At 41.8% G+C, this 23,900-nt stretch overlaps 2 protein-coding genes across 7 annotated transcripts in view; one reads left to right on the top strand and one right to left on the bottom strand.

The window, feature by feature from the left end:
- Positions 1-8,739, top strand: part of ADAM12 (ADAM metallopeptidase domain 12) — a 376,087-nt gene extending 367,348 nt beyond the window's left edge. For all 4 annotated transcript variants that reach the window (NM_001288973.2, NM_003474.6, XM_017016706.2 and 1 more), the window contains 2 exons: positions 1,305-1,435; positions 3,791-8,739. In NM_001288973.2, coding sequence (NP_001275902.1) covers positions 1,305-1,435; positions 3,791-3,851 — 192 coding nt within the window. In that variant the 3' untranslated portion in view covers positions 3,852-8,739. The remainder of the gene's footprint in view (positions 1-1,304; positions 1,436-3,790) is intronic.
- The window catches only part of FANK1 (fibronectin type III and ankyrin repeat domains 1), a 113,029-nt gene continuing 100,666 nt past the window's right edge, over positions 11,538-23,900 (bottom strand). For all 3 annotated transcript variants that reach the window (NM_001350939.2, NM_145235.5, NM_001363549.2), the window contains 6 exons: positions 23,645-23,710; positions 16,081-16,246; positions 12,580-12,723; positions 11,999-12,076; positions 11,864-11,908; positions 11,538-11,757 (listed from right to left, as the gene is read on the bottom strand). In NM_001350939.2, the coding sequence (NP_001337868.1) occupies positions 11,692-11,757; positions 11,864-11,908; positions 11,999-12,076; positions 12,580-12,723; positions 16,081-16,246; positions 23,645-23,710 (565 nt within the window). In that variant the 3' untranslated portion in view covers positions 11,538-11,691. The remainder of the gene's footprint in view (positions 11,758-11,863; positions 11,909-11,998; positions 12,077-12,579; positions 12,724-16,080; positions 16,247-23,644; positions 23,711-23,900) is intronic.

Below are 23,900 nucleotides of genomic sequence, written 5' to 3'. Positions count from 1 at the left end.
CAAGAGCAGAGATGTGTCCAACACTTACTGACTTCTGGACACAGCTCCAATGAACCCCTCTCTCATGGGTATCCACAGGAGGGGCCCCACGAAAAAAAGGGGCATGTGTTCTTACATTTTTTTTTTTTTTTTTTTTTGAGACAGAGTCTCACTCTGTCACCTAGGCTGGAGTGCAGTGGCACGATCTCAGCTCACTGCAACCTCTGCCTCCCGGGTTCAAGCGATTCTCCTGCCTCAGCCTCCTGCGTAGCCTGGGATTACAGGCATGTGCCACCATGCTAGGCTAATTTTTGGTATTTTTAGTAGAGACGGAGTTTCACCATGTTGGCCAGGCTGGTCTCAAACTCCTGACCTCAGGTGATCCGCCCGCCTCGGCCTCCCAAAGTGCTGGAGTTACAGGCATGAGCTACCACGCCCCGCCGTTTTTCTTCTATTTCTACTAAACATTTTTAAATTGCGGCATGAAGGAATGCTGATATTAATAACTATTATCTGTGTGCTGGGAACTTCCTATGCATTATTTTCTTTAATCCTCATAACAATGCTGAGATAGGTCTTTTTCCCCACATTTTCCAGAGAAAGAGGTCAAGTGACTTGCACAAGTCCCAAAGCATCATTTTTGGCTAAAACCTAGCGTGGAATAACCCCACCTTCCCTGGCCAGCTCCCTCACACTGGCTTCTGGTCAACACAGCCCTGCCCCTTAGTGTGTTTACAAAGCTTGACTTGCCCCTCAGACCACTGCATCAATTCTCTGAGCTTATGAGAAAGTATCTAGTGGAAGAACTTCAGTGTATTTCGCGGAGCCTTCAGAGCAACATGTGGAACAGCGCCTGCACGTGGCAGACTGAGCACAACCATCCTCACCGTCTCATCCACCCACAGATGAACGAGTCCTGCTATGTGATGTTGGCAAAACTGAAGAAACGAATGTGATGTTTGAAAAGATTTTCACCAACTTCTTATTTTAGGGTGAACAGAGAAGCCGCCTAACTAAAAGCACAGGAAAGTGTGTATCCTCAGGGTGACACTGACAGAGAAACCCCAACATCAACGCTACCCCAGGGCCCAGGGGCAGTCCAGAAGCCCCATAGTTGAGTGTTTATAACTACGATCCATGGATAAGTCTTAAATGTTACAGAAAATTTTGGCAAGAAGATTAACAGAGGTCAGCCTCCACCCACCTTGTATGGTGACAGGATGATATTCAGGAAGCAGGGCCTGTGCCAAGCGGCAGGCCCTGCTTCTCAGGGGCCTCTGCTGGCTCCTGGTAAGTGACCCTGCCTAACCCTATGTTTATTGCAGGGGACCTGTAAGCCAAACCCCCCTCAGAAGCCTCTGCCTGCAGATCCTCTGGCCAGAACAACTCGGCTCACTCATGCCTTGGCCAGGACCCCAGGACAATGGGAGACTGGGCTCCGCCTGGCACCCCTCAGGTTTGTGTGACATGCCATGCCCATCTCTTTCTCTCTCAAACTCTTGTGGGACCAACCACGACTAATCCAAGCCAGGACAGGGGTGCAGTGGTCTAGGCCGTGCTTCCTGCTCCCCCTACAACTGGGAATACCGTAAAATAGACATGACAATTACCAGGAAGGAAGCAGTCCCTGTGAGCTTATAATCACAGGCATTGGCACACAGTGCCTATCAACAGCCACAGTGGACCTAAGAGAGCAAATCAAGATGTCATAAAACTACAGTACCTCAGAAAGCCAGGCCTGTAAGACACAAAGAAAAAGAGGAGCTACCAAGTAGCATGACAGTATGAAGACTGGACACCTGTGTTAGTCTGTTCTCACATTGCTATAAAGAAATATCGAAGACTGGGTAATTCCTAAAGAAAAGAGGTTCAATTGGCTCACAGTTCTGTAGGTTGTACAGGAAGTATGGCAGCATATGCTTCCGGGGAGGCCTCAGGAAACTTACAATCATGGCGGAAGGGGGAGCCAGCACTTCACATGGCTGGAGCAGGAGAAAGAGAAAAAGGGGAGGTGCCACACACTTTTAAACAACCAGATTTAATGAGAACTCCTATCACTTAGAACCAAGGAGATGGTGCTAAACCATTCATGAAGGATCTAGTCACCTCCCACAAGGCTCCACCTTCAACTTTGGGGATTACAATTTGATATGAGACTGGGGCAGGAACACAGATTCAGACCATCTCAATGCCCACCTCCACAACTCTCAGCAGAATCTGCCCAGTTCCTGAGGTCCTGAGACATTAGTCGGGTTGGAGGCATACGGCTGGAGCAAGGGACATATGGGGAGTAAGGGAAAGCAGCTGCCTGGCAGCAGGACACTGGGAAAACAGGGACAATGGGCAAAAGGAATCACCTTTCACAGCTTATCCTGCTTGGTCCACTAGGAAGGCAGAGACCTCAATCCCAACTTATGCTGGGAGGCTAACCCCATGGTGTAGGGGAGCCAGCTTACCCTGGTTGGTGAGAGATAACCAATTTCCAGGAATTTTGCAAGCTAGGTGTTAAACCTAGCCAATATTAAGGATTAAATTATACAAATTTATGATATTTTATATTAGAAACAAAGGTAATAAGTGCTCAAAACTCACTTCACATTTTTCTCCATTTTGCTATAATTGTCTGTGCTCTTGAGATTGCACTCATCCATTATTTCTGTATGGCAGAAAACCTAGGTCATGGTAGCTGCCTGCATCTCTTCCATGTTTAGTGATGTCAGGTGGTAGCTTGAAACCAGCCACAGGAGGAGTATTTACACCATGGACATTGGCAAATACTGCAAATCAGGCTTTCCTGCCCCCAACCCCATGGGCTGTTCAACATTTACCAGCACACAGATGAGTTAAACCCACAGCCAAAGTACTCTTCTGACACACATGCCCTCTTGGCAGGAAGCCTGCTTTGTGAGCTCAAAAGAACCAAAGGTACTGTGTTGGCCAGGCCCTGGGTTCAGTAATCCTGTATCTCTGAAGGAGAAGACACACTGGAGTGATTTTATTACAGCTCTTGGGAAGAATGTTTGGCCCGTGAAAGAAAGAGCTGCTTAATAAATGTCAGAGATAAAGGCGGTCAAAGGGTCAGGACAATTGTTTAATTCCCAACTTCATAAATAGAGAAAAATTGCATAGCATCCTAATTATTTCATTGTGGTTTGCATGTTGATCTTGAAGTTATTTTTCTTGTTCTATTTGAGGAAGAAACACTACTTTACATGAAAACAATGAGGGGAAGCCCTTTTTCTTAAATGCCCTCAAGCTGTGGCCAATCTTACCTCTGGTCAGTTGCTGATTTTGGTCCTGTCCTGCACATTTCATTTTTTAGGGATACTGGGTGCCCACCTTTGCTCCCTGTTCTCTGGAGCTGTGCTGTGGGATGCAGGGACTGCTAGGCATGTTGCGCCTGGTAAAAGTCTTACTGTATTTTGAAGACTTAGTACCCTAAAATGTCAACTATCCATTTTTTTCTATTGATGATGACCTGTTGAAATAATCCTCTAGGTATACTGAGTTAAATGTATTACTAAAATTAATTGCACCTTTCTCTTTACTTTTTTCATGTGGCTACTAGAAAATTTAAAATTTCTTGTGTAGCTCACATTTTTTCTGTGGGACAGTGCTGGTCTAGAGTTGACTTGTGGGTGGGAAGTGCGGCTTTGGAGACAGGTTTCCCACCCCCGTTATGAGGGGCAGTGGTATCTGACACAGAAAACCCTTCAGACTATCAGAATACATCTCCAACCCCAGACCTCTCTATCCTCAGAATCACTTCTCAAGGTCTCTGATCATTTTTTTTTCTCCTCTCTTCATTCAGACCTGCTCCACAATATCCACACCAAGTGCCCAGATCCACCCACACCGCCTATATTAAGTGAGAAGCCGACACCTTTTTTCAACAGTGAAGACAGAAGTTTGCACTATCTTTCAGCTCCAGTTGGAGTTTTTTGTACCAACTTTTAGGATTTTTTTTAATGTTTAAAACATCATTACTATAAGAACTTTGAGCTACTGCCGTCAGTGCTGTGCTGTGCTATGGTGCTCTGTCTACTTGCTCAGGTACTTGTAAATTATTAATTTATGCAGAATGTTGATTACAGTGCAGTGCGCTGTAGTAGGCATTTTTACCATCACTGAGTTTTCCATGGCAGGAAGGCTTGTTGTGCTTTTAGTATTTTAGTGAACTTGAAATATCCTGCTTGATGGGATTCTGGACAGGATGTGTTTGCTTTCTGATCAAGGCCTTATTGGAAAGCAGTCCCCCAACTACCCCCAGCTGTGCTTATGGTACCAGATGCAGCTCAAGAGATCCCAAGTAGAATCTCAGTTGATTTTCTGGATTCCCCATCTCAGGCCAGAGCCAAGGGGCTTCAGGTCCAGGCTGTGTTTGGCTTTCAGGGAGGCCCTGTGCCCCTTGACAACTGGCAGGCAGGCTCCCAGGGACACCTGGGAGAAATCTGGCTTCTGGCCAGGAAGCTTTGGTGAGAACCTGGGTTGCAGACAGGAATCTTAAGGTGTAGCCACACCAGGATAGAGACTGGAACACTAGACAAGCCAGAACTTGACCCTGAGCTGACCAGCCGTGAGCATGTTTGGAAGGGGTCTGTAGTGTCACTCAAGGCGGTGCTTGATAGAAATGCCAAGCACTTCTTTTTCTCGCTGTCCTTTCTAGAGCACTGCCACCAGTAGGTTATTTAGCTTGGGAAAGGTGGTGTTTCTGTAAGAAACCTACTGCCCAGGCACTGCAAACCGCCACCTCCCTATACTGCTTGGAGCTGAGCAAATCACCACAAACTGTAATACAATGATCCTGTATTCAGACAGATGAGGCTTTCCATGGGACCACAACTATTTTCAGATGTGAACCATTAACCAGATCTAGTCAATCAAGTCTGTTTACTGCAAGGTTCAACTTATTAACAATTAGGCAGACTCTTTATGCTTGCAAAAACTACAACCAATGGAATGTGATGTTCATGGGTATAGTTCATGTCTGCTATCATTATTCGTAGATATTGGACAAAGAACCTTCTCTATGGGGCATCCTCTTTTTCCAACTTGGCTGCAGGAATCTTTAAAAGATGCTTTTAACAGAGTCTGAACCTATTTCTTAAACACTTGCAACCTACCTGTTGAGCATCACAGAATGTGATAAGGAAATCAACTTGCTTATCAACTTCCTAAATATTATGAGATGCTGGCTTGGGCAGCATCCCCTTGAACTCTTCACTCTTCAAATGCCTGACTAGGGAGCCATGTTTCACAAGGTCTTTAAAGTGACTAATGGCATGAGAAATACAAAAATACTCAGATAAGGTAAAATGCCATGATGCCTCTGTCTTCTGGACTGGTTTTCACATTAGAAGACAATTGACAACAGTTACATAATTCACTCTGAGTGTTTTATGAGAAAGCCTTCTTTTGGGGGTCAACAGTTTTCCTATGCTTTGAAACAGAAAAATATGTACCAAGAATCTTGGTTTGCCTTCCAGAAAACAAAACTGCATTTCACTTTCCCGGTGTTCCCCACTGTATCTAGGCAACATAGTATTCATGACTATGGATAAACTAAACACGTGACACAAACACACACAAAAGGGAACCCAGCTCTAATACATTCCAACTCGTATAGCATGCATCTGTTTATTCTATAGTTATTAAGTTCTTTAAAATGTAAAGCCATGCTGGAAAATAATACTGCTGAGATACATACAGAATTACTGTAACTGATTACACTTGGTAATTGTACTAAAGCCAAACATATATATACTATTAAAAAGGTTTACAGAATTTTATGGTGCATTACGTGGGCATTGTCTTTTTAGATGCCCAAATCCTTAGATCTGGCATGTTAGCCCTTCCTCCAATTATAAGAGGATATGAACTGAGTTTTTCTTTTGTTGTTTGTTCTTAGCTGTAATTCCTATGCTTCTATTTCAGAGAGCCAGGAGAGTTTGATATTAAAGGAGGTTAAAACTGTGATCTTATGCCATGTCATCAATGGCCACTTAGGGGCCATGGCTGATGACACATTCTTATCTCTACAGTACTAATGTGTTATTATAGAGCCATGCATTTTATTTCTGAATAAGAACATATTTAAACTAATATTCCCTTACAATATGGACAGTATTAATCCTTCCAAGATGCAGTATTTATCAAGTGAAGCATATTTAGCAGCAAATTCCATTTTAACATAACTTAGGAACCAATAACCAGGGTGTTTTGTGGTTGGGGGAGGCACGGGGTGGAGTATTCTTTTTTATATCCTCAAAACAAAAAAAATCAATACTTATATTTCAATGGCAATCTAGTATTTTTTTAAAAGACTGTATAGGCATGAATAATAGAGGTGGTTTGAGTTTTGTAGGGCCATCACCTGGAAAGTCAATGTGACTAGACACAAAGTAGCCCAGAGGCTACTTTTCTTCCTACAGCTTATTATAGTTGTAGGTTCTATGACCTCACTTCATGGGTTCCAGGCAATTCCGCTGAAAGGTTTGTCTCCTGAAATTTTTTAAGTTTGTTTTCCTGACACATGTAATCAGATGTGTAGCAACCGAGGGAAACGAAGCCTAACATTCTCCATTGTGGAAATACACACAGGAGGTTACATTTCACAGCGTGGATTTTTCCAGCTTACACATGTGGGATGACATCACAGAAACCACAAAAGCAGCAAATTAAACTGTAGGAGAGTCAATACTCCTGACGAGTCTCGGGGGGGGGGCATTTTTATGCCTTCTTAACTTTATGAGAATTCTCAGGCTGAACTATAGGCCATTGTTCCCAGGCAAATCAATACATCAATGCATCCTCAAAAAAAAAAAAAAAAAAAAAAAACCGGCTAAAACTGTGTCAAAATGTTCTTAAGGAGCCTATGGTCTCCACGGTGCTAAAAAGAGCCTGGTGCTGGGCCGACTGGCAGGGCTGAGCATCCTCCTGCCCCCTCGCCACTGATGTTTACTAAGCACTCTGAGCCAATGAGACCCCCAGCAGCAGAAAGGGCACAAGGTGGCGCCAGGGCAGCAGGGCCAGATCTTTCTCATGCACCTCGACCTCTTGCAGACTTTCTTCGTGAGATGTACTACTCATTTCAAAACTGCTTTGCAGGGCTCCCCTATGTATTCGGGGGGCCCACGGCACACTCAGGCTGGAGATCCTTCCTCACTGCGCTCAAGATGGCCTCAGCCAGACACCAGTTACCCAGCTGAAAGTCACAATCCCTCCCAGAAGTCTCCCAACACTAGTGCTGACCAGAGGTGGGGCTCTCAGGCTAGGAGTTTCACACACAATGACAGGCTGCTGGGGGACATTGCAGGACCCCTTTTCCTCTCCTCTCCATGCTAGAAGCCAGCCCTAGGCAGCTGCAGTTACTCCCTGTGACTCAGCAGCAGGCTGATTCAACACAGCTGCCCACACAAAGCCAGTGGCTAATACATCTGTTTACCTTTCCCTATCACCCAGACACAAGCCCCTTTCCCAGGTCAAACCACAGGCCGATGCATCTCCAGTTTGACAGTCAAATCACTACTTCCATTGCTACTTTAGATCAGCCAAAGTGGTGACTGCTGCAGTGTGTGGCTATCCCTACAAGGCCCACCCAAGGGATGCCCAAAGCCCAACCTTCTCCAGGGCTGCAGCCCAGAGCAACCCCACCAGCCTAAGTCCAGCAGAGGACCTCCCACCCAATGTCTTGTTCTAATTAGAAGGGGAAGTTAGCCACAGAAAATCAACTTATCTATAATTACAAAATTCTCTTGACTCACCTTAAAGTTCCTATTGACATCTACTGCTTTTAAACCTATTTGAAAACTCTGATACTAAAACAAATGACACTCTAAGAAAGTTTGGGAGCCCCATGCTGAGAACCATTTCTGTGCAGTGAGGATGTTTCCAGAAGCTACTTACCTACATGTGAATGTGCCATTTTCTTTCCTTTTGTAGAGAAAATCCCCTTTACTTTTTGGAACAGTAATGGCAGCTTCTAGTACAGCCATTACAGTTTCATATGAGAAAAATTAAGAATAACTATAAAATTGTTAAAATATCCAATAATGGATAATGATGGCCAGAAGATTTAACATACAAAGTAATTCTCAATGTAAAGCTATTCAGCTCTTCCAGGTTGAATGCCCTGTAACCCACCCTGACCTTCCACATCATCTTCAAAAAGCAGTTTCTCTGTTCCCCATGATTCTCCTATAAGGTAACTCTTTAGTCCTCCATTTAGCACATTTTAAATCCTCCAAAGAATAAGTATCATGTGATTATTTTAGCTTTACAAAAAAAAAGTTGAATGGCGTTTTATTTTCATGGCCTATAAGCAGGTACCTTAGTAGGGCAGATATAGGAAAAACAAATTAGAGCAAAACAAATCCTCTACAAATCCAAGGCAGGAAAAGTGGTGGCAGAGTGACTCATTCTCCTGTCCCTCCCATCAGGTCAAATCAGGAGGCTGCAGTGAATGCCTGTTCTTTGAATGTGTAGCAGTTGTTCCTGTAACTCTTTAAAACTTGGCTATAGGCTGTTTAGCACAGTACAGATTAAAGATACAGTTACGTAAACAGCAAAGTAATTTTATAGTGCTTCATCCATTTATCATGCTTTGGTTTGCTAATTTTTTCACATACCTTTTTCTATCACAGTCTGTTGCTTTTGTACACATTTCTCATATTGGGGTTCGACAGGTAAACACAAACTGCTATTTCAGTAGAAAAAGTTATTGTTATGAATATTAAACCCAATAAATTGTATAAAGGTAAATATCAATGTGTCTCTCATTTGTTACTGAGAATGTTACAAAAATTGGCGGAAGGCCTTCATGTAGAAAAATGTATTCTCATTCATTTATAGATGCTTGAGAAAAGTTTGGAGCAGTACATAAGAAACTAAGAAGAATGGTTGGCAGGGTGGGGGTGCATAAGGGGTGTGTGCTACCAACCTCATGAACGTGTGAGACCACGGCACAGGAAGGAAGATGCTCACACACAACACGGGGGGTGGGGCATGATATGGTTTTTGAACAATGTGAATGTATAACCTAATTTTTTAAAACTCATCTATTTACATAAGAAATCCAAAAAGCAAGCAAGCAGTGGTAGAGACAATATCGGAGTTATTTGGTATGAAAAATCTAAGTGTAAATAGATACCTATTTAAAAAACACAGCATCCAACTTAATAAAACTACAGAAAATACAAAAATACAAATACAAAATGCTAACAAGAATAAAGGAGTCTTTTTTTTTTGTTTTTTAAGACGGAGTCTCACTCTGTCACCCGGGCTGGAGTGCAATGGTGCTATCTCAGCTCACTGCAACCTCCGCCTCCTGGCTTGAAGCAATTCTCCTGCCTCAGCCTCCTGAGTAGCTGGGATTACAGGCACGTGCCACCACGCCTGGCTAATTTTTGTATTTATAGTAGAGATGAGGTTTCACTGTGTTGGCCAGGCTGGTCTCAAACTCCTGACCTCATGATCCGCCCACCTTGGCCTCTCAAAATGCTGGGATTACAGGTGTGAGCCACGGCACCCAGCCGAAGAAGTCTTTATTCTTACCACTCTCCACCTATGATCACACAAGCTGGCAAAAATTAGTACATACAGAACTTCAGACATAATTGATATATATCAAACAGGATACTCCAAACATACAGAATATATCATCTTTCCAAGTGCCTTGGAGGAATAAAAATTCTCAAAAAATAATTCCATACCCTAGAAATGAATTGATTCATTAGTTTTCAAAGATGAATTGCAGATTAGAAAACAGCAAGTGAAAACATTTCTAATAGCACATGTGATGGTAGGGATTCTCAAGATCTTAGAATTAGAAGACCTCACTTGTGATGCTTGTTCAAACCCATTAAAATCCATTGCTCATGCCCTTTCCCTGAAGATTCCAATTCAGAGAGCAGAGATGGGGCTACGAAATGTGTACTTAGCAAGTTCTCCCAGTTGAATTTTTCATTAGAAAAGTTTAGAAAACTTCTATGATAATGTAACTAAAGCACTGCTGGGGGAAAATTCATAGCCCTAAATCTATAAATTAATTTGTAAAGGATGAAAAAGGGAACTTAATATCTACTATAAAGTTATAAAAGGAACAATAAAATAAACCCAGGGGAAAAAATAGAAGAAATGAATTTGTAGACCTAAGGATAAGTTCATTAGAATACAGTAGAGCTAATAAAACTATGAGTTGCTCTTTAGGAAAATTCTAACAGTGTATACGCCACTTTCTAATCTCATTAAGTAAAAAGAAGAAAAAGAGCAAACATACATAGCATATGAGCATGAAGAATCCTGCAGTCCACCATAACCCAGGGAGATGATCTCAAGAATATAAGGATGGTTCAATATCGATCGGGAGGGTGGGCAGTTTTGCCAAGCTTGATGTCAACCAGAAGGGATGCACACTCCTACCATAAGAGCAGGCTAGTGAATACAGTCTACAACAGACCAAAAAATGAAACTAAGGTGAACATCAACATTGACCACCAACCAAAGGAGGGACCTCTGGAGAGTTGTAAATGTGCTCCAATTTTTAAAGAGGTTTTAAAAACCTAATCTGGCAAATCTAAAGGAATTTGCATTTGTACAAAAGGTAAAACACTCATGAAATATCTAAGGAATGGACTATATATGGTCCACAAATCCAATTCCTAAAACGAATATTCTGTGGGCTCTTTGGAATAAAGCTGATTGCTAACGTCAATAAAATTGTGTGCTTTTTCTCTATGCCCCTCAGCAAAAGCTTTGGAGCTTTAATTACCTTTTATTAGGCTTTCCCTACAGGAAAAAAAAAATCCACTCCTCTACAGACCTATGTAGCTGGTTTTCCCATGGGGTCAAGTTAACCAGTGTCTCTCTGGAGACATAAACTCATGTGGTCTGTGTGCTCACTTTTTTGCTGATTTTGAAGTGTGTTTGCTGAGTTGAAGCTCTACCACATTTGTGTCTTTAAGCTCCCAACCAGCAGACATGGTTGCAGTTAATTCCTACTTGTCTAGGAACTGCATGATCAGCATCAGAAAACCTTCTGCTCTGAAGACAAAATTTAATATACTACCCTTTGGCTACATCGTCCACCCATCAGCAGGCTGAGTCTTCCATTGTCAGGGCATGAGTATATGCAAACACATTAGACCTGTCTGTGGCCAAAAAGGCTGACCCTCAATCAGACACCTCCAATAGAACAGAATCAGAGTCCTGAAATATGTATTCTGAGCTTTGATGTGAGGCCAACAGCTGAAGAGAAAACTCCTGGGCTTTTCGGAGGAGCGCCACTCCAGGAGGGAGCAGCGGCCTGACAACCAGCCTGGAAGCCCTAAGTTGGGAGGGGAGGATTTAATTGAAAACACATGAGGGAAAGAATTCCAACAAGGCCTAGCATGGTAGAAGGACAGCTTGCGGGGCAGGAGCCGGGAGTGGGAGACCCCATGTGTGTTTGTGTAGCTCCGGTGCATAAATATTTTGTTTCATGTCTAACTCCAAAAGGCGCAAGTGCAAGAAAACATCCCCATTCTACAGACACCCAATGATGGTACCACATACGCACATGCTTAGGTAAAAAGATGTATTTCAAAGTGGGATCAGTGAATCTTCAACTAAATAAATAAATGTACAGCCCCCCAAGATGCAGAATTTCCCATCCCTAGTTTAACAGTCACGGTTCACTTTGTTTTACGTGCGTTTCGCAGATGAGTGGTGCTCTCATCAGCAGACACAAGACTTCTTTGGCCTCTGCTTTTTTTTCCTTTCTTCTAATAAGGAGACTACACTCTAGATAAACAAAACAGACAGGCGAATGTAATCCAGGGTTTTGGTGGTTTTTCTGAGTCTAGAAGGACTAAAAATTAGCCTTGATAGGCAGAAAGAGCATCCCAACCTGTCTGTCAAAAACTCTGGCCATTTCTAGGACACCTTTGCCGAACTGAAACAGGAAACAACAAAAATTTTACATGCTTATAAATGTTTTCTCCCCCTCCGAGGAAAATCTTTACATAAAGATGGACTCATTTACCTCATTTTTTACACTTGCATCTGCCCCTTTGTCAAGAAGTAACTGAACTAACTCTTCATGATTATTTAACACAGCCACCTAGAAAACAAAACCCAGGGTGGTGTGCATGAGCTTCTCCCTCCAGGGCACACACAGCAGGGGGCATGAGCCTGGCACATGCAGGGTCCCAGCAGCCCCCCTGCAACCCCAAAAGACCACTGTGGCTTTGCATGGCCTGCAGGCACAGCGCTTCCTCTGCAGCTGTATGGTAGCAACTCCAGAGAAAATGGAAAATGGACTCCCTCTATCCACACTAAAACCAGAACAGAAAGCAGCTTGTTCTTTGTTTCACCAGTTCTGTTTTGATCCCACAGTGGTCCTGGGGACAGGGGTTCTTTAGTCCTTAAATAGTTGTAAAAAGACAACGAAAGTATTCTAGTGACAGCCTCATGCCCTTATGAACAAGCCGACAGGGAACACACACACACAGTCAAACCCAAGGGCTGGTGCAGGGCTGAACTCACAAGAATTGTCTAATTACAGAAAAAGCTCTGACATTAATTCCACGTAGAAAACTGCCTATTTTCGGGAGGAGGACCTACCATAAGGGGCGTCTTTCCATTTCTGTCCTTCACATTCACATTGGCCCCAGCATCAATTAGAAGAGAGGCCACCCTCTGATTTCCCGACACCGCAGAGACTCTCATGAGTGGGGTCCATCCTGAACCAGTGTCCACGACGTCTACCTGTTGGGCCAGAGAAACAGCTGTGTTGAGCCCAATTTCTTTTTCTTAAAATGATTCAAACTTATAAAAGGAATATTTGCTTGCCCCAACACCCGGACTTAGATAGCCGTCTTTCTATATTTGGTTCATTGCACTGTGCTAATTTAAGTCACATTTTGGTGCTGAGAGGCCCCAGGGTCTCCCCACCGGCTTCTTCATCTACATCCTTTAAAGTGGAAAAAAGATGGGCTAGAAAAGTTAACTGAACTACTTTCCACTTGGCCCCTGGGGAGTTCTTATTTTCTCTTGCCTAACTTTCCTCACCTAGCATTCATTTTTCTTACTTTTATGTATTGTTGTAAGCAGCTTTACATCCTTTCTGGAACAAGACAGTAATAATATATATACACACTTATACTTACTAATACTTATCAATTTTAGGCAGGAGACCTACAGGTAAAATACAGAACAACCAGATTCATTACACAAACTCTGTCTGAAAAGTCTGACTAAAGGCTTCTCCAAAACAGTGTGCCCAGTAATCAGATGGCTGTTTCCTGATCATCTTCTCTACACTGAAATCTCTCAATTTAGTGTTTTAAAATAAATATTTTAGATTAAGAAAATGTAAATATTGTCGCTTCCAATTCCAATGAAGACATCGCCAATCCATGAAGAGTGGTGCTGAAGTAAAGACAGATACGTGTTTGTGCTCAGACACGCACACACACTCGTGTGTGCACACACGCATACCATGTGCACATAAGCACACATGAGCACGTGCACGCACACACACAATCTGTTACAGAAGAATTACTCAAAGATGATCCATAGCTTTAGTAAAACATCAGAATGGAAAAACAAACAAGGAATTTCCAGGAGATCTTGGGAGCACTTCAGGGTATTTCTACATATAAGATTATCCACTGTAACATGATTTGGATTTGCAGCTCTTCTTCATGCAAAGAACTAACCTGTGGGCAACACACTCCATTATATTTAAAGAATAATAAAATAAGCACCTCATATTACATGATGCTTTACACAGCTTTCAACCCTCTTTACACACACTTTCTCTTTTGGTCCTAAACGTTAATCAGAGGTAGGTATTTTTATTCTTGGTTTACAAACAATCAAAATAAACCTCAGAGAAGTGCCTTTCCTGAGATCACATGGATCATTAAATGCACAAATGAATAAGTCAGTCGCCAAGTAAATAAGTCACTCTTAGTATATGATCATTACATTTGGGAAGAAGGTGGTGATTGGCTCTCAAGTCCTTCCCATGGGCTTCAGAAGCATCAGGTGAGCCACCTGCCAGAATATGGAAAGACTCATGTTGACATCATCCATCCGCCACCAGGCCAGTCATGTGGAAATCTATAGTAAACACATCCATGCTTATTGTTCTGTCCTCTGCAAAGTAGTTCCAGTGCTTCAAAGAAAGATGGAATTTATCCCAAATAAGTATATTCATATCTGAAGCCCAGAGAGCCTACATTTCCAAAACTCCAGTATTTAAATGTTGATAGCAGAGATTTGCCCTATTGTGAATGATTTATTTATTTGAGATGGAGTCTCACTCTGTCACCCAGGCTGGAGTGCAGTGGCACAATCTTGGCTCACTGCAACCTCCACCTCCTGGGTTCAAGCAATTCTCCTGCTTCAGCCTCCCTAATAGCTGGGATTACAGGTGCCCACCACCACGCCTGGCTAATTTTTGTATTTTTAGTAGAGACAGGGTTTCACCATGTTGGCCAGGTTGGTCTCAAACTCCTGACCTCAAGTGATCCACCCGCCTTGGCCTCCCAAAGTGCTGGGATTACAGGCATAAGCCACTGTGCCCGGCCCCGATGCTTGACTTCTTTCAGCAAAGTACAACCTTCTTTTTCAACCACAGACTTTCACTAGGTGCAAAACCTGCCCAGAATTCATCATAAACCAATCAAGGAGTGTGTGGCTGTCACTACCACACATGGCACGTGGGCCCGGCTCTACTATGGAAGCCCACTGACTCAGCCTTCTGCCTCTGTGCCTGTCTCTAAAACATAAGGAAAATAAGAAATGTAATAAATTTTTAATGACTGAGATTTTTCCTATAAGGGGGCACTTTTCTTAATTCTCCAAAAGCAGCAGCAGGAACCAGATAGATCCCATAACTGCAGTCTCACTTTCCCTCAATTACCCTTCAGAAACAAACTAGAAGAAATCTACTGACATCTTCCAGGAGACATGACTTTTCTCAATTTGAGTTGATTTTCCAGGTCATCGACTTAATTTCTCAGCACTCTACACACCATCTGGCAGTCACAGATAGCACAGAACTTTGTCCATCATTCTTTAGTTCCATGCTTTGAAATTTTTAGCTAATTTCTTCAAAGTCTTGAAATAAAGTTTTCAAAGTTACCAGCAATTTCCATAATTGATCTAATTCTAATTACCCATCTTCAAATATCTATAGACGTCCAACAACACTGCTTCTATTTGCTAAATCAAATTTGCAGTTTCTGATAACGTGAAATCAAAAGTAGACCACTTGCCTGTTTCCAGGTAAAGATGCAAAGAACTGAAATGTTTTATTCTTGATATGGTCAGTTTCCTCTTTGGAAATTTTTTGTAATGACTAATCTTTAAAACAAACCAAGAATAAAAATTACCTAATTTTAGAAGTAACAAGAAGCACAATGGCTATAAGGGCTCTCTTAATATCTTTGTATCTCCGCCATTTGAAATAATATCTGGTACATGCTTAGTAAAGCTTTGGTGACAGACTGAATGGAGAGAGAAGCAAATGAACAAAAGAACAAAGTAGAAACATCAGGCTGGGCACGGTGGCTCACACTTGTAATCCCAGCACTTTGGGAGGCTGAGGTGGGTGGATCACTTAAGGTCAGGAGTTCAAGACCAGCCTGGCCAACATGGTGAAACCCCGTCTCTACTAAAAATACAAAAATTAGTTGGGCATGGTGGCATGTGCCTGTAGTCCCAGCTACCAGGGAGGCTGAGGCAGGAGAATCGCTTGAACCTGGGAGGCGGAGGCCTCAATGAACCGAGATCGCGCCACTGCACTCCAGCGTGGGCGACAGAGTGAGACTCCATCTCAAAAAAAAAAAAAAAAAAGAAAGAAAGTAGAAGCATCAGGTCCAGCTCTGGATTCAGACCTGTTTCTTTTCCCTACACAAGATAAACCCCCATGACAATCGGAAAGCTCACTCTCATGTCCATTCTAAGGTTTCAGGGGCTTTCTTGCTAAGTCAGAAAACTTTCTCCAGCATTTCTAAGGTTAGCTAATCAAAGGCCCTGCTTCTGCCAGACCCCATGGAGCAGCATTTCAGATTCTTAACGATATGTGCGTGGTTAACAAGGCAGGTCCCGTACCTCACAGCCATCCTTTATCATCCACTCAATCACACTGCAGTGGCCTCCATCTGCAGCCCAGTGCAGAGCTGTACAGCCTCCCAGGTCTCTAGCCTGCCAAGAAGCGCCATGTCTTCGGAGATATTTCACAACATCTAGGTGTCCCGCATAGCACGCCAGCATTAGACTGCAACATATGGAAGAAGCGGCATTTGACAATAAGCACAGTCACCAAACTCAGCTCCACCTTTTACCCTACCTGGCTTAAACCAAGAAATCCTAACTTGAGTGGAAAAGCCATGGGAACTGTTCATATAAAACGTACACGTATCCATCAACTGATGTACAAAATGTGGTATATCCATACAATGGAATATTAGAAATGAAGTGCTACAAACATGCATGAACCTCGAAACACTGTGCTGAAAGATGCCAGCCATGAAAGGCCACATATTGTCTGATTCCATTTATACGAAATGTCCAGAACAGGCACATCTGCAAGACAGAACTAGCAGGTGAGCGGTTGCCTGCGGCTGAAGGGAAGGAGTAATGGGGTGTGATTGCTGAAGAGGGCAGGGCTTCTTTCAGGGGGGCAGGGGATGAATATTCTGGAAGTAGATAGTAGTGGTGGTTCCACAACTTTGTGAATACATTTTTAGATGTTGAATTGTATGTTTTAAAAGGTGAATTTTATGGTATCTGAATTATATCTCAATAAAAAATGAATAGTGACTGTAACTGAGGGTAAAATATTGGATTTTAAAACATCCAAAGTCCATGATATTCAAAAAAGAGAAAAAGGAAAAAAAATACTCATTTGACACTATTAGAGATAACTATCAAACCAATTTCTTACTCTAAAAATTGGTATTTAAAAATTAAATATTTTCTTTTTTTTTTTTTTTTTTTTAAGGATAAAATGTAGTCCATCCCCAGTTGGTGGGGGGAAGCTGTTTTTCACAGAAGACTGCCAACTAATAAATATAAAAGGAACCATAGAGTTAGAAAAACCCTTATTTGCAATTCCCAATTAAATAATTGATTCAGGCAATAAAATTATTGGCACTGAAATGATTGGGTAAAAGTTAATGGGGAGGCCAGGCACAGAGGTTCACCCCTGTAATCCTAGTACTTTTGGAGGCCGAGGTGGGTGGATTGCCTAAGCTCAGGAGTTCAAGACCAGCCTGAGCAACACAGCAAAACTTCATCTCTACTAAAAATATAAAAATTAGCTGGGAGTGGTGGCAAGAGCCTATAATCCCAGCTACTCAGGAGGCTGAGGCAGGAGAATCACTTGAACCCAGGAGGCGGAGGTTGCAGTGAGCCGAGATCATGCCACTGCACTCCAACCTGGGAGAGAGAGCAAGACTCTGTCTCAAAAAATAAAAAAAATAAATAAAAAATAAAAGTTAATGGGGAATGGAATATTCACATGGCAATGAATTATCCCAGAAATTATTTTCTAAGTGCAATGGGAAAACTGTATCTTTACAGAGAAGAAAATTTGCTGTCATCATTCTAAAAAAAATAATGAAACCTAGAATCACTACCTGTGAGACAACCTGCATCACAGGCCTCCCAATGGATGTAACATGAAGTCACAACACTAGCTCTGAAGCATTCTTGCTAAAGTGTTAACCTGAGTCTAATTAAGCCTTTAATTTTTTTTTAATTCTTAAAAAATTTCACCTTATTGCCCACGCTGATTTCAAACTCATGGCCTCAAGTGATCTTCCTGCCTCGGCCTCCCAAAGTGCTGGGATTACAGGCAGGAGCCACAGCACCCAACCTAATAGAGCCCTTAAGCCTGTCTTTAACTTTATTGTTAATAAAGGGATAGATGAACAAGTGAAATGCCTGCCCCACAACCGGGAGACAAGCAAATCCAGAACATAGGACATTCTATAAGATAACTGGTCTGCTCTCCTCAAAGAGTCACTGCTATGAGAAAAAAAAAAAAAATTTAAAGAGAGGACTGGTCTAGAACCAGAGACTATAAAGAGAGAGAATGGCCAGATGAAATGTGGGAACGTCTCACCCCACAACACCCCCAAAACCCCACACCACCTCCCAAATAGAGCTGTGGAAGACCTTTGGGGAACAGGTTGGGAGACCTGCAGGGTGGTTGTGTATCAGTGATATTAAGGAATTAGTTGAAGTGTCTTAGAAGTGATATGACACGATTACTATGCAGGTTAATGACTGTGTTTTTAGGAAACATTTTCTGACGTATTGAGGGGTGAAGGGTTATGCTATCTACTAATTTCAGAATAGTTCAGCAAGAATGAAAAAAAAAAAAAAAAAAAAGGAGAGGCAAATATGGCCAAATGTCAACTGCCAAGCCTAGGTGGGGGGTATACAGGTGTTTGTTGTACTATTCTTTCATTTTTTCTAAATGTGTAAATATTTCAAAATAGAGAGTTGGAAAATAAAACAGAAGATCTTCTCAATAGGGAAACGTGCAAAGCCTCTGAGTGATAACTGGAATATCCAGCCCCCAAGGCAAGGCACAGCCGAGCTGAGATGGCGCCAGAACTCTGCAGCTGCATGTCCTCACACAGTCCCTCATTTCTTGGAGACCCCCAGAAGACAGTCAGCATGGTGCAGCACCTGCCTGCTGGGTTTAGGGTGTTCATACTGCTTTCCCAAGCACTCAAAGGTCTTTAGAATGACCTTTGCTAAGGGAAGAAAACTTCATTTTTTAAATTATATTCAAACAGAACTCTAATTGTCTGCATGACTTTTTGTTTGTTTTTTTTGAGACAGAGTCTCACTCTATCGCCCAGGCTGGATTGCACTGGCACAATCTTGGCTCACTGCAACCTCCGCCTCCTGGGTTCTAGTGATTCTCCTGATTCAGCCCCTCAAGTAGCTGGGATTACAGGCGTACAACACCATGCTCGGCTAATTTTTTGTATTTTTAGTAGAGACAGGGTTTCACCAGCCTGGCCAGGCTGGTCTCAAACTCCTGACCTCGTGATCCGCCTGCCTCAGCCTCCCAAAGTGCTGGGATTACAGGCGTGAGCCACCACGCCCAGCCTATCTGCATGATTTTTAAATAATGCCTCTTTTCTGATTATAAAGTAAGGCATGGTACCTAGAAAAAAAATCCCATATCAGAGTCACCCATAGCCTCACCTCACAGAGAACAAACTCTTAAGATTCTGTTGAATTTGCTCTAGGTGGTGAGGAGGATTGTTTAATAATCCTGGATTATTTTAACAATCCAGAGACTCCAGCCCCGGAGGCTCTGGATTGCCCAGCAATGAGCTCATTGAGACCAGGCGCTCTTCCTTCCCAGGGATAGGCACAGCCCTGAACTTACCACCTCCCACTGGCAGAAAGCCACCAAGGTCCTCCAAGGGCCAAGCAGCTGGAGTCAGCCACCAGCCCAACTGCCATCTGAACTCAAACTGCCTGGCACCCATGGGGTCTGTTATCTGCTGCTCTATAAGAATTCCCCTCTCTGGTTCACAAGGTGGGAGAAGGGGAGAGTGGCCAGGACATAGCACACTCCTGAGCACAGCCCTGCAGGGCATCCCACTGTGCCCTAGTACAAGCCCACCAGAAATGGAGGACCCGCTCCGCTTGCCTGCTGCTGAGTCCCCTGCTCAGGGTCACATTCCTAGCTCTACACAAAATCCCGTCTTTTCTCTCTTGTTCTGTATGATTTTCTCTTCTCCCTGCCTTTTAAAAGTATTATTTCAGTTTCTTATTATTTCATATACTTCCCTGTTTACTTAAGCACTGAAAACAGCATTGGCATACTAAATATTCCATCATATGAATATATCATAACACATACTAAATATTCTATCATATGAATGTATCATAACTTCAATCAGTCCATTATTGTCAGACATTTCAGTTGTTTCACATTTTCCACAATCTTAAATAAGGCAACAACAAACACCCTTACTAATCGTATTTGCATTTCTGATTATTTCCTAAAATGGGATCACTGTGTCCATGGATGTGGCTTAATATGGATGCACATTTCCAAATTGCTTTCCAGAAAGATGATACCAATTCACATTTCTATCAACTATATTTGAAAGTACAGGTTATTTCACTGCATCTTTACCAACATGATTATTTTTTAGTCACCAATTTGATAGAAAAATTGTTATTACTAGTAATGCTAAACATCTTTATATGAATTGCTTATATTGATTCTGCTATAAATTGTCTTCTTGTGTAAACTGCTTTTTTCTACTGTGTGTGGAGGCTTTTTTGGAGTATATGTATGGGCATGTGTGTGTTCTGTACATTAAAGATGCTGGTAATTTGTCTCTAATACATTTGTAAATATTTCCCTGGAATGTCCTTAACATTGTAATTAAGTTTTTAAAAATATATAATACACTCAATCTTTTTCTTAATGATTCCTTTCAATGCATTTGTTCCTTTCACATTACAAGATAAAATAATTATGCCTCTGTGTTTTCTGGTCATTTTTTATGGTTTTGTTTTTTACATTTAATTCTTAATTCATCTGGAATTTATTTTGGTACACGCTATAAGACCAGGATCTAACTTGACTTTTTCCTTCAAACATCCTATTTTTCCAATACCTTCCTCAATGGTTTATGTTACTTCTATCATCATATACCAGGTTCTTACGTAGATAGGGATCTATTTGAGGATTTCTATTCCATTCTACTTTTTTTCTGATTATTTGTTCCAGTATCATACTACATTAATTACTATAACGTTATGAGGCATTTTAATAACTGTCAAGGCAAGTCCTTCCACATTCTTCCTTGACAAAGTTTTAGTAGATATTATCTATTTGTTCTTCTAGATAAATTACAATCATTTTGACAGGTTCCCAAGAATAATTCCAGTTGAGGGTCCATTGAACCTCAATGCAGTATTTGAGAAGAACTAAAAATTGTATAATAGTCAATCTTGCCATTCTGGCATATGACATGTCTTTATTTCTTAAATTTTTATATCTCTCAGTAAGGTTTTTAGGGTTTTTTTTAATTCAGATTTCCTACCTTTCTTGTTTTCATTCTATTTCCCCATTATATTTATTAACCAGTAATTGCAGGGATTTAAGAAAGTCTTTTCTTTGCCTTGTAGCTGTCCACTTTACTGAGCCTCCTTATTAAGTCTAAGTTTTTCAAGTTGATTCTGTTGGGTTCTACAGGAAATAAATCATACCTCTTATCTCAGTTCACATCTTCTTAAGTAGATCAGCCTTCAAAATACTGTCTAATCATGAAATAACAAAATATATCTGTATTTACCATATGCCAGGAACTGTTTTAACGCATTTTTCATATTAACTCATTAAATGCCTACAAGCTATAAGTACTTCTGTTATTCGAATTTTACAGACATGAAACTGAGATACGGAGAGGTTAGGTAGCCTGCCCAAGGTCACGCCACATCCTCAGAGGGATGCAGATTTCACATCAAGCTCTCCACCACTCTCCTGGGCTTCACTACTAATTTTGGAAAGGAATTTGCCAATACTAAGAATGACACTGGCTGATTGAGATGATTTAAAAAATAAAAGAAACCTTGGTATGCTGCAATCAAAGGAATCCTTCATTCAACAGACACTTCCTGCCTCCCATGTGCCATACACTGTTCAAAGGCTGAAAGTAACCTTCACTTTAAAAAATAAGATACTTCTATCAAGACCATCCTGGCTAACACGGTGAAACCCCATCTCTACTAAAAATACAAGAAGTTAGCCGGGTGTGGTGGTGGGCGCCTATAGTTCCAGCTACTTGGGAGGCTGAGGCAGGAGAATGGCGTGAACCCGGGAGGCAGAGCTTGCAGTGGGCTGAGATCGCGCCACTGCACTCCAATCTGGAGGACAGAGTGAGATTCCGTCTCAAAAAAAAAAAAAAAAAAAGATACTTTTTAACATACATGCCAAGTTACACCCAATTTTTGTTTTGCATCTACACAAATAAAGGTTTTCACCTTTAATCGACTGATGGAAAATGTTACGTTAAAAAATTTCCTAATACCTTACCCTCTGGTATGGCCCTCATAGGAGGGATGGAAGAGATTTATAAATACCTACACACAAACAAACATACAAATAGCTTTTTTTTCCTCTATCAAATTTTAGCAATAAGGTTGTCCTCTGGAGCTTTCCAGCTTCCTCTCTGCTCTGGAAAAGCCCAAGTTTATTATCAGTGCCTAGAAAATCTGAACAGGTTCACTGGTCGAATAGTCAAGCCACAGAGCCTACATTGGAGGTAATTTTTAAATGAATTTTCTAGTTTCTTGCATGGATATTGGTTATTTCGAATTTTCTGCTTCTTGGGTTGACTTGGCGGTTTAAATTTTCTCAGAAAAAAAGTATCCATTTCAATGAAATTATCTACTATTATAGACACAAACTTCTTTTCATGTTTACATTTTCTCTATAACCAGTTATTCTTCTCTTTCAAACTTCTAATTTTTTTCTTCTTAGATTTACAAAAGATTGGTGTATCTTATTAGATAGCTTTTTGTTTAAGAGGCAACTCTCATTTCTCAATAACCTTTCTATTTTTTAATCAATGTCTACTTTTAATTCTTTCATTTTTCCTACTCTCCTCATACTTTTTTTCTTTTCCCTTTTCAGATTGCTATTTTTCTTTTCAAACTTGGAGTTGATGGCTTAGTCTCAACCTATGAGTTATTTGGAAAAATACTTTTTAAATTTATAAGTGATATTTAAGATATTGTTATTTAAAATCTATTGCTGTATTGTGTTCAGAGAATGTAAATGTAGAAGATAGGCCTTCTGATTTGAGAAGTTAGTTGGGGTTTTCTTCAAGGCCTCCCCCAGAAGGTGTTTGGCAGCTGTCTGTCGATGTCATCTACAGTGCCCAAGCCCTGGTTCTGTGTGTGTTGTGACCACAGCCCCTGAAGCCAGGGCCTGGCATTTTGCTCAGTGTTTCACCCATGTGCCAAAGCACAGCACCTGGCAAGTAGTAATCCATCAATAAACATGGGTTAGTTGGAATTTATTGATGAATGACTAGATGAGCAAGTGTTTTTAGGTCTTTCAGGAACACTCTCATCTGTCCTTTATGTGTGTCACGTTCTTCCCCTGAGCTTTTCCTATAGCGTTCTCAGCCCTCCAAGGGGACATGTGCCTCTCACCTCAGGAAAGTGCTCTTGGTGTCTCTCTTGTGGTAATTTCTGTCTGCTTCTTTAGAAACAACGAAGATTTCTTAGCAATGAATGAGGCTGAAATGCAGCGGGGGCCTGAGAGAGGCACGGGGTGCCAGGGGCAGGCGCTTGCACCCACGCCCAGCGCGGATGGCGAGAGCTGCTCTGTAGCTGCCATTTCCCGTGCACTGCGTGTCCACTGGGCACAGGGACCATGCCAGAGAAGTCACCATACGTTACAACAGATGCCCCCCTAAGCACCCTGGTGAGCAAAAGCACAAGACCATGTGAGCAAGCCAGCTTTTGTGATCACCATCTTTCCTCAGCGACCCACTCACCTCTCAGGACTGTCAAACTCAAGACAATGTTTTGGTGAAATCACAACCCCTCTGGGCACAAGCCTAGCAACACAATTCTGAGAACATCAGCACAATTTCAGTCATATCCCACCTCCTACCTGTCCTTGCCACTTCCATTCTTCAGATTCACGTCTGTGCCATTAGAAACTAGGATTTTCACAAGCCTAAAGGAAACAAACTTAAGTGTAGCTAGATAAGTCACCTTGATCACTCAGAACCCACAATAGTCCAGTAAAAATGAGTAACACAGCATCCAAGATGTATCTTTCAACAGTTTCTTCTGCACCTTCAGAAGCCAGCTGGTTTTAAAACCAGGCACCATTAAACCAGAAAACCACCTCTTTATTCCAGAAA

Source organism: Homo sapiens, chromosome 10 (genome assembly GCF_000001405.40).
Source record: "Homo sapiens chromosome 10, GRCh38.p14 Primary Assembly".
NCBI lineage: Eukaryota > Metazoa > Chordata > Mammalia > Primates > Hominidae > Homo > Homo sapiens.
Note: the sequence above shows the minus strand (reverse complement) of the source record. Positions and strands in the feature narration are given on the sequence as shown.